This window comes from Homo sapiens, chromosome 11 (genome assembly GCF_000001405.40).
Source record: "Homo sapiens chromosome 11, GRCh38.p14 Primary Assembly".
Lineage (NCBI taxonomy): Eukaryota > Metazoa > Chordata > Mammalia > Primates > Hominidae > Homo > Homo sapiens.
The window spans coordinates 117,167,328-117,178,742 of NC_000011.10; the positions used below are offsets into that span (position 1 = coordinate 117,167,328).

General features: G+C 43.6%; 1 protein-coding gene across 13 annotated transcripts in view; it reads left to right on the forward strand.

Moving 5' to 3' along the window:
* PAFAH1B2 (platelet activating factor acetylhydrolase 1b catalytic subunit 2) overlaps positions 1 to 10,846 on the forward strand; it is a 33,887-nt gene extending 23,041 nt beyond the window's left edge. For 3 of the 13 annotated variants that reach the window (XM_047427042.1, XM_047427043.1, XM_017017840.2), the window contains 3 exons: positions 94 to 4,419; positions 8,579 to 8,792; positions 10,722 to 10,846. In XM_047427042.1, the coding sequence (XP_047282998.1) occupies positions 94 to 372 (279 nt within the window). In that variant the 3' untranslated portion in view covers positions 373 to 4,419; positions 8,579 to 8,792; positions 10,722 to 10,846. Of the gene's footprint in view, positions 1 to 93; positions 4,420 to 7,565; positions 9,568 to 10,721 lie in introns of those variants that run through there. The other 10 variants (NR_110282.2, NM_002572.4, NM_001309431.2 and 7 more) reach the window with 7 other exon arrangements.

Genomic DNA, 11,415 nt, shown 5'->3' on the forward strand with positions numbered 1-11,415 from the left:
AATGGAGATGTTCCAGGAATATCTGAAGTTATAAATAATAAGTAGAGAAAAATAAGTGAATCTTCTAATTTAATGTTTTCCACTGTGCCCCAGGGTTTGTTACCTCGAGGTGAGAAACCCAATCCTTTGAGGCAAAAGAACGCCAAGGTGAACCAACTCCTCAAGGTTTCGCTGCCGAAGCTTGCCAACGTGCAGCTCCTGGATACCGACGGGGGTTTTGTGCACTCGGACGGTGCCATCTCCTGCCACGACATGTTTGATTTTCTGCATCTGACAGGAGGGGGCTATGCAAAGATCTGCAAACCCCTGCATGAACTGATCATGCAGTTGTTGGAGGAAACACCTGAGGAGAAACAAACCACCATTGCCTGACTGGCTCTTATCAGTGTTAATAGCATCTCAGCTTCCTCAGATCAGTTCTATCACTGGCACTACAGAATCCTTCTCTTTCTTAAGGCACTTTGCATTGTAGAATGTTCCTGGATGTTCATATCTAGTGTTTGAAGGGGAGGAGGGATTTAAACTGGTCCTGTACATAGAAGGTTTGTTTGACAGAGGAGAAAAATTAGCCAAGGAAGATTGTTGTTTAAATTCATTTGAAACCAGAAGGGGACTTTTTAGTTGTATGTGTAACACATTCATTGAATTATTATCACTGTTTTCTTGGGACAACATCAAGCCTAAATACTGAACAATATGAAGATTCTTTTCTTGGCCTTTCTGTGGATTATGTCATATATAATAATTATCAGAATCATTCTACTTGGCTTTAAAACATGTTTTCTCCAATTTTTTTAAGGTTCATAATTTAGCCTTTTGTTTTTATGTTGCTTAGATTCTTATGTATACTGAATATTTTATTAACATGTAGCATCAGGTTGAACATGCTTGTCATTGATATATGGAAGATGCTATAGTTAGAAGTGAATTTGTTCTGCTTTCTTAATCTTTTCCATGCTTAGCAGTGAAAAACAGGTTTTGCCCCAGTAGAGGGATTCTTTGGAGGGTATTATTTTTTATGCTGCTGAATATCATGTCTATAATAGACCCGTGCATGCAGCCTTTCCTCCTTATTCCCCTTCATGCCCCCCTTTCCCCTTCATTCCCCCCGCCACCCCGTTTTTTTTTTTTTTTTTTTTTTTTTGGTTCTTGTTGACATTACAAGCTTTTAACACATTTTTGACCTAGGAGCCCTGTTGCTGGAAGTATAGTCTCCAGCCAGTTACTCTCATGATAGTACTGCTATAAAACTCATTCTTGTGTGGTGTTCTGTGCTATAGATTCTGTGTATTGCTGTTCATATTCGGAGTTCTGGTTTTGTTTTTCCCTTAAAACCTGTTAACAGTTTTTTTTGGGGGTGGGGGGATTCAGAACTCTTGTTTCCCATTCCATAGCACCTGACATTATTTCAAGTTTTATAATATCTTAAGGTGTATATTTTATTTTTTTTATTGGCTTAGTTGTTTTTTGTTTTGTTTTGTTTGAGATGGAGTTTCACTGTTGCCCAGGCTGGGGTGCAATGGTGTGATCTTGGCTCACTGCAGCCTCCACCTCCCGAGTTCAAATGATTCTCCTGCCTCAGCTTCCTGAGTAGCTGGGATTACAGGTGCATGCCACCATGCCCGGCTAATTTTTATATTTTTATTAGAGACGGGATTTCGCCATGTTAACCAGGCTGGTCTCGAACTCCTGACCTCAGGTGATCTGCCCGCCTTGGCCTCCCAAAGTGCTGGGATTACAGGCATGAGCCACCGTGCCTGGCCTTATTGGCTTAGTTTTTAAATTATCCTCCAAAAATTTTGGGCCTTTTTCTGTGGGGAAACAAGTGAAGCTGCTCTTCAGCATAGACACTACCTTTATCCCATCATTTTAGTAAAAACTAGGTTTGTTTCACTTCTGAGGTGTCTTATTAATGTACTTCATCTGAGAATTTGTTGATCTTAATGTTCGAGCTATATAAGAACTGCCATTAAAAAAAATGGGATAATAGATGATTTTATCAGTATACCTGTGGAATATGTACAAACTGGATCTATAGATATTTTGAACTGGACCAGGTGGGTATTGAAGTAACCCATCAAAATATGCTCTGCAGTGATTCCGCTTAATGTTTAAATTCAGTAACGTACTTGAAAGGCAAATTTCAGTGCTTTTGTATGTTGGAGGAGGGCTTACTGATGCGTGCTAAGACCGATTTCTGATTGAGGGATGAACCTTGGGCTCATTTTTTTCTTGTGAAGTCTCTTTCTAGAAAATTTTTTGGTTTTGTTCTTTTTAAAAAATACATACTTTTTTGAATGTATCATGTCTTCATTAACAACAGAAAATCCACATGGTGTTTACTAAACTTGTTTACGACATTAAAAATTTCCTTTTTATTTTTAGTAGCCCAGGTTGAGTTTTTCACAAGAGATTTTTTTCTTAGCTGAGGTATAGTTGTATAGCAAGAAGAATTAAGCCAGATTTTTGTGTGTGGAAAGACAGTTTTCTATCCACGTCTTTTTCTGTTTGTCAGAAGGTGGGAGTATGGTCCAAATAAATCCATTAGGTTACTCCTGCAGCATGCGCTTTTAGCTTCTCTCTTGACTGAGGATCAAATATCCCTTTGTGAGCTGGCCCTCAGCTCCTTTGCTCATGTGTACAAACCTCAGATGTTACTACATTTTATATCTACCAGAGCTATTCAAGCAATAGTATTTGAACCACTAGCCTTTTAAATAAAATTCTGCCCCATTACTGATGTGCAGATATTGAGTTCACTTTCATTTTTTGCCAGATTTCTTTGCACTACTTTAGGTAAAAATAGTTAATCTATTTTTCTTTGACATCCTAGTTTGCGTCAGTGACAGAACTTACTGCTTAGTCTTTGTACTTTTTAAAAAATCTATAAATTTAATGCACTGTCCAAGTGAAATGTCCTAGTTGTCATTGTGATTAAGGGGCCAACTTTCCAGGCAGCTAGCAGAGATACTATTCTCTTCCTCTCCCAGCAAATTTGTATTCCTTCGCCCACGCATTCCTGCTATACTAGATGGCAGCCAGTGATGGAACTATAAAGATGTCTGTGGTCATATGTTGAATGTGGCAGCTTGAAGATGTACTGCCACGGGTGATCTAGGGCAGGCTGTCTTCCAGTCCATGTGTTCTCGGTCGCCGTAGACAGCGCTCTGGCTACCACCGTGAGGCTACTTGAACTGTCAGGGGCATCTGCCTAAACCAGAATCTTTTGTCAGAAACCTTAACCCAACAAAACAAATCTTGAGTAGCTCATGCCCGGCTCTTAGGAATTTTGTCTGTTTAAAAAAAAAAAAAAAAAAAAAGTCCAACTTACTTTATTTTATTTTTTTAACCTAGTCACTGTTTACAATTGTATGCTAAAGCCTGAAATATTGTCTGTGCTGTGGTGTATGAGCATTGCCAACTTTATATTTATTGCAGTGAAGAAGAAACTAAAAATATATGGAAATGAGGAGCATGTCCAAGCTCCTAAATCCGTGTGGGTGCATGTGGGAGAAGTGAGTTAGGGCCTCTTGAAAGGAGGCTTTTTGGAGAGGGGTCCCCCAGGTTTCTTGGTGTTCCTGCTTGGGGATCACTGCTGCTAGCTGACTGGACCTCCCCATTGGAAGTTTGTGATTTTGCTTTGGCAAAGTTTCATTGACTAGTAGAACTCATTCTGTTTTAGTGTATATTTCAATATAAATGTAAACATTTTGCTCAATTTGCTGGTGTCTTTCTGTCTCCTTTATCATAGTTTGGATTCTAATGAAAAAAAGGGATGGTTTTTCCCTGCCTTATCATAAGGAAATTGGATACTTAGATGATCCTGCTTCTTTACTGTGGAACTGAATGCACCAGGCTGACTCATCACTTACCTTCTCGGGCATGTAGATTGGTAGGGTGGGATGAGTAGGTATAAGGACCCCTCAGAAAGCACAACTGCCATCCTTGAAGTCTACTCTTTTCCATTAGATTGGAATAGTTTTGCAGATAGGTTAGTCTGGATTATAGGCTGTGGACCACCTCATCTGAACTGGGTGAATGTCATCAGTCAGTATAATACAGTGTTATTGGCCGGGCTCACGCCTGTAATCCCAGCTACTCAGGAGGCTGAGGTGGGAGAATTGCTTGAACCCAGGAGGCGGAGGTTACCGTGAGACGAGATTGCGCCATTGCACTCCAGCCTGGGCAACAGAGCGAGACTCTTGTCTCGGAAAAAAAAAAAAATACAGTGTTACTACAGCATAGAGGACATGAACCTTGAGCACGGACTCATTTATCACCCTTACGTCCCCAGGGTAAAGCAGCCGCCTCCAAATACTCTATCTCAGAGATAGTGAGACTAGAACAAGGGTCGGTTAACTGGTCGATCGGGACCTATCCTGATGACACACCAGCAACTACCAGGCCAGCAATATTACAGTGAGTTGGTATGCCGGTATGATGTTCCTTGGCAGCTAAAAGTTTCTGTGATCTTTGTATCATTTGCTTTATCACTGTTCACCTCAGTGGTATACTGTTGGATTAAAATGATTTGCTGCTTTAGGAGGAAAAATTTGGAGGTAAATTGAGACATTTTGTTTTTCTAGCTGCCCTTCCCCCCTCCCCAGTATCTCATCACACCAAGTTCCTCTCCACCCACACTCCTGGAGGCCTTTGTCAGCTGCTTGCAGGCCACACAGCAGCAGTGAAAGCAGCCTGGATCTTGAAGCTTTGCTTTACTGTATGTGGATTACCCCATGTGAACCTCTTAAATGGCCCAGAACAAGTGGAAGTGGTAGTAATGTGGAAGAAAGAAAAAGCTCCCTCACCAGCATCTGTACTTGAGGGGAAAACTGGACAAACCAACATGAGAATCTGTCCCCTAATTTATTTTCCAGCCATGGCAGAGATGAAATCTTAACCCAATGACATGTTTTTACATAGCTATAAAGCAAAGATCTTCAATGTTTTGCTAAACATATAATATTTGTGGCCTGATATTATGCTATGCCTTTTGCCTACTTGCTGGTTCATTCTAGCTTTATATATATATATATATATATATATATATATATATATATATATATATATATATATATTTTTTTTTTTTTTTTTTTTTTTTTACATTCTGGTCAAGCTTTGGCAGTATGCTTATAGTGGATTCATAACACATCAGTATACTGCAGCTTGCTTGTCAGCCACTGAGTTAAAAGATCAAGTCCAAGCCATTAAATGTAACATCTAACAGTCTCCATGACCTGGCCTCTTTAATTTGTAACCTTCCACCCTTTACTTTGAACTTTTCTGCCAAGAGCACTGAGCTTCCTTTATGTTTTTGCCCATAGTTGGGAGCCCCCTATCTGGAATATGCTCTTACCCCTTTGCTGGTCTAGCTCCTACTCTATTTTTATTTTTTGGAAACAGTCTCGCTTTGTTGCCCAGGCTGGAGTGCAGTGGTGCAATCTTGGTTTACTGCAATCTCTGCCTCCTGGATTCATGTAGTTCATGTGCCTCAGCCTACTGAGTAGCTGGAATTACAGGCGTGTACCACCACGCCTGGCTAGTTTTTGTGTTTTTAGTAGAGACAGGGTTCGCCATGTTTACCAGGCTGGTCTCGAATTCCTGGCCTCAGGCAATCGGCCCGCCTTAGCCTCCCAAAGTTCTGGGATAACAGGCATGAGCCACCGCGGACCCAGCCGCCTGTCTTCTGATTTCTAAGCCAAAGACCCAAGCTTTCTTGAAATAAGAGAGCTGGCTCATTTTTATCGGTGATCTTTGGAGGCAGAGATTTGAGACGGTCAAGTATTTATCTGCTTGTTTTCTGCAACCTGATGACCAGCCTTGTTTCCTGGAAAGCTCTGATGTTGGTTTCATCACGTGGCCAGAGGGAACCAGATGCAGGGCCTGAGTATATCACAGATATTTCCCAGTGTGAATGGTGAAAGCCCAGTTTTAGGAAATGGAAAGTGACTGACCTATCTCTAGGAGAAAGTACTGCCCACTTGGTCAGAGCTTATCTCGTTTGTCTCTCTTCCTGTTCTTTAGACAGTAGGATGGTGAATGCAGGGAAGCCTAGCTCCACTGTGAGTACTTAGGACAGTAGAGACCAAGTCCAGACAAGGCTCCCAAAAGGCTCAGAAAGCTCAAGTGGTTTGCCTAAAGCACACAATGCAGGGATTTCACTGTAGAACTTTTTTTTTCTTTTTTCTTTTTCTTTGAATGGATGAGAGGTTTTTATGTTGCCCAGGTTGGCCTCAAACACGTAGCCTCGCCTCCTTATGTGCCAGGGCAACAGGCCTGAGCCACCGCAGCTCCCAGTGACTGTAGAACTTTTTGACATCAAAGTCCGTCCTTTTTCCGTAATACCATGAAGCCATGTGACAGGTTTGAGACCTTCCCCAGTATGGCAGATTAAATCCTGTGTCTTTAACTGATTCCCAATCTAACATGCATCCAGTCTTTGCAGTCCTTGCAGGAAGAGAGATAACCAGACACAAGGGCAGCCCTGGGAAAGAACAGAACTTGTATGATGGAAAGAAGTGCTGAACTCTTGCTGGAGCTGCTTATGTCTGGGACAATTCTTTCTAAGCACCAAATGAAAAAACAGCCCTTTTTATAATCACAGTGAAAACAGAAAGCTTCAGGTTCATTTCCTTCAGAGGGGTTGGTTTTGAATCTTTTTTTTCTGGGTTAAAGTTATACCATTACATGATACTAAAATCTGTTTTGATTCTGTCTCCCACCCATAGGCATGGCTACTCCCTACCTCCCAGGTTCCTAAATAATTTGATTGGATTCAGCTAATCCATTTACTGTGATTCTTACAAAATCCTGCTCGAGTGCAGTCTTCATGTCTTTTGTGTGTGTGTGTGTGTGTGTGTGTGTGTGTGTGTGTGTGTGGCAGTTTCACTCTTGTTGCCCAGGCTGGAGCACAATGGCCTGTGGTCGCACACTGCAACCTCTGCCTCCCAGGTTCAAGTGATTCTCCTGCCTCAGCCTCCCGAGTAGCTGGGATTACAGGCGCCTGCCACCACACCCAGCTAATTTTTGTGTTTTTATCAGAGACGGGGTTTCACCATGTTGGCCAGGCTGGTCTCAAACTCCTGACCTCAGGTGATCCACCCACCTCAGCCTCCCAAAGTACTGGAATTACAGGCGTGAGTCACCGCCCCTGGCCATTTTTTTTTCTTTTTTTTTAGTGGTGTTTCACTCGTTGCCCAGGCATGCAATGGCGTGATCTCAGCTCACCGCAACCTCTGCCTCCCAGGTTCAAGCGATTCTCCTGCCTCAGCCTCCGAAGTAGCCGGGATCATAAGCATGTGCCACCACGCCCGGCTAATTTTGTATTTTTAGTAGAGACAGGGTTTCTCCATGTCTGTCAGGCTGGGCTCGAATTCCTGATCTCAGGTGATCCGTCCACCTTGGCCTCCCAAAGTGCTGGGATTACAGGCGTGAGCCACTGCACCTGACCTAATTTTCTGTATTTTTAGTAGAGACGGGCTTTTACCATGTTGGCCAGGCTGGTCTCAAACTCCTGACTTCAGATGATCCAACCGCCTTGGCCTCCCAAAGTGCTGGGATTACAGGCGTGAGTCACCGCACCAGGCCATCTTCAGGTCATTTTAACAATACCCCTGAGCCACCTGAAGCTTCCTCCCTGTCCTCTCACCCCAAACTTCATAAATCCCCTGTGACTTAAAATGGAGCTGGACTCATGGGTCCAGCAAGCTCCTCAGCTGTGTGTTGAATGGTCCCATTTCTTTGGTCCATTCAACACTCAGGCTCAGGAAGGGTGGTCCACAGGGAAATATAAGTCAAATAAGCCTTATGGCCCCACCCTGACCGCTTGAGGGCCACGGTTAGGGTTGAGCTCTTTGTATATTATGCCAGGGAATGCGGTAGCTGGACCTGTGCACAAGGCCAGGATCACATCCCTGAGGCCCCGACATCTCCCCTGTGTGCTCACAAGTCTGGCTTTGAGACACACCACTGCCTTTTTTTGCTGACTGCTGCAGCCAACAAAAAGGCATTCTCTCCCAGTGGACAGACCTCAGAAAGGACCTATTCATAAGTGCGGGGTAGGGCAGAGGGACTGAGGAAAGTTCTGCAGACCTGGGAACAGCAAGAAAATGTGCAGTTGCTGCCCTCCCACTCTGTAGACGCAGGGTCCTGACGATTCAAAAGTTAAGTCTTGAGACCTTGCAAAAGGGAAGGATCCCTTCAGAGTTTGCTTGGATGGATTTCTCTCCAGATATTGCCAGCGGAAAGGGAGCAAACAGAAATAGTGATAGTCCACAGTTGTTTGGTTCCAGAGCAGTGGTTCTCAAACTTCATTGTGCATAGCAAGCTTCTGGAGTGCCCCGTTAAATTGCAGTTTTCTGGGCTCCACCTCCCAAGATGAATTAAGTGTGAAGTAGGACTCTGGATGTGCGTTTAAAACAGGCGTAGGGTCACATCTTGCCCCAAAGTTATGAGGCCAACTTAGAGTAGTGGTGCTTGCCTGTAATCCAGCTACTCGAGAGGCTGTGGCAGATCGCTTGAAGCCAGGAGTTCAAGACCAGCCTGGGCAATGTATCACGAGTGTTTCTTAATGTTTCAGATTATTTACTGGCAAGATGAGCAGGATTACCATGAAAGAAAAGTCCAGATGGACTGAGGAAATCCTACACTGATTCTCCAAACTTGGCAGCTGACTGCATGGAGGGCTCATGATGAAGAAACCTCTTTTGCCATCCTGAGGATTCTCTGATTCATATTCGCCTAGATGTGCTGGAAACAGTACTGGACCAAGGTGCAAACTTGAGTCTAGTGAGGTACTAATGGGCTGAAGTTTTTCTGAGCGTCACTTTCCTCATCTGTATAATGAGGGGTTGGCCAAGGAAACCCATAAGGTTATCTTCCAGCTGACTTTCTAATTGGTGAACCCTTTGGAAAAGGGGTGCAGCTTGCTTCTGGTCTTCATCCTCAAGTATGCTGTGCTTGGACAGGGGCCAAAACTAATTCCTCCACTCACCATTTGCCCAGCATAACTACAACAGTACCTGGCACATCGTGGATGCTTATTAAATATTTATTGCAGGAATGAGTAAATATAACTAACTGATCATAAGGTAAAATAGTCTTCATTGGAACAAGGCTCCAGATAGTTGGGCAGGGCTGGGAGCTGAGACTGCTGCAATCCTGCCAGCTGAGAGAACTCTGACAAGGCACTGATCTGGGTGGCTTTATTAGGATGTCTGACAGCTTCAGAGGTGGCCACATTTCTTTTCCTTTAAACATGTCTAATTTGGCCGGGCGCAGTGGCTCACGCCTGTAATCCCAACACTTTGGGAAGCCTAGGTGGGTGGATCACTCGAGGTCAGGAGTTCGAGATCAGCCTGACCAATATGGTGAAACCCCGCTTTACTAAAAATACAAGAAATTAGCAGGGTGTGGTGGCGGGTGCCTGTAGTCCCAGCTACTTGGGAGGCTGAGGCAGGAGCATCGCCTGAACTCAGGAGGCGGAGATTGCAGTGAGCTGAGATCACACCACTGTACTCCAGCATGGGTGACAGTGAGACTCCATCTCAAAAAAAAAAAAAAAAAAAAGTCTAATTTGTCTTATAAATGCAATATATGTGGCCAGGCATGGTGGCTCATGCCTATAATCCCAGCACTTTGGGAGACTGAGGTGGGTGGATCACCTGAGGTCAGGAGTTCGAGACCAGCCTGACCAATATGGTGAAACCCCGTCTCTACCAAAAATACAAAAATTAGCTGGGCGTGGTGGCACATGGCCTGTAATCCCAGCTACTCGGGAGACTGAGGCAGGAGAATTGCTTGAACCCAGGAGGCAGAGGTTGCAATGAGCTGAGATTGTGCCACTGCACTCCAACCTGGGCAACAGAGCGAGACCCTGTCTCCACCCCCCGGCAGATAAAAAAGCAATATATAAATATATATACATTGTAGAACATTTGTAAATCTTTTTAAATATAAAAAATAAAATTTAAGAACCACTCACAATCCATTATTTTTTATTTTTTGGTACTACTCTATATTTTTAGAATTAAAGGAAAATGATATACAATATGTGTTATTTTTAAAATTGTAATTCAAAGATAACTACTGCTAAATTTTATTTTTAAAATTTGCCCTGCTTTCTGGAGACATTGCTAAATGTTTAGTACAATTTTTTTCTATTTTTCTATGCATGTCTATATGCATTTGGAATATATACGGTTTTATTTACTTATTTATTTTTGAGACAGAGTCTTGCTCTGTTGCAGCCCAGGCTGGAGTGCAGGAGCATGATCTCAGCTCACTGCAACCTCCGCCTGGTAGAGTTAAGCGATTCTCCTGCTTCAGCCTCCCCAGTAGCTGGGATTACAGGCACGCGTCACCACGCCCCACTAATTTTGTATTTTTATAGTAGAGATGGGGTTCACCATGTTGGCCATGGCTGGTCTCGAACTCCTGACCTCAAGTGATCTACCTGTCTTGGCCTCCCAAAGTGTTGGGATTACACGTGTGAGCCACGGCACCTGGCTCTATATACTGTTTATTTAGTGTCATATCCTGAATTCTCTGCTTACGTGTCCTGTGAAGTCTTAAGCATCATTTTTGATGCCTTCATGATAGTGCATTTAACCAATCCCTCATTATGGATATCCAAGTCATTTCCTTTTTGCTTTATATTATAAATATCACAGTGATAAGCGTAGCTGCCCAGGTATTTTTATCTGTGCTTCCTATTTCCTTAGGATAGAGTCCAGAAGTGGAATTACTGGATCAAAGGGTATAAAGCTCTCTAAGTTTCTTGAAACAGTGCCAAAATATTTTGTAGAAAAGTTTTCACCAATTTACACTGAAGGTCAGTATCTTTCAATGAGTTTTGTAACTGTCTCTGAGAGAAGAGGGGAAACAGCCCGGCAAGCTTGGAAAGCTCGGAAGGCCGTCCCTGCAGTTGTGTGGCCCCTCTAGAGGGAGGTGGGAAAGGCATGGGGATTCCTCCTGCAGTGCTGCCTCCGTTTCCCCTCCGCCGGTAGGGCCACCGTCCTGTTTCCTAATCCTTCGAGTTTTTCATTTTTTAAGATCCCCGGAGAAAAAGTGGCCCAGGGTTGGACGATGTTAGTTGTAAAGGTGGTGGTGGGGGTGGGGGAATCCTTATGTTTGAGCAAATGTAAGAGTTGTTCAGCAAGAACCCAACACTTGGAGATTGTTAACAGAAACATCTGCCTATTCCAACGTGAGTTTCAGAGATGGTGAAAATCACGGGAGAGAGTTGGGTAGGAGTTGGAGAAGGCATTGCAAGCTTTCCCCTTCAGCTAGACAGCTGCAGCCCCTTTAAGGGCAAATGCGGGACCTGGTCCTTTAAATCTGTGTCAGTTTCCCCTGACGTCAGCGGGCGGGCCAGCAGCCCTGCTGTTTATCGCCCAGCGGCGCAGCTCACTTTTC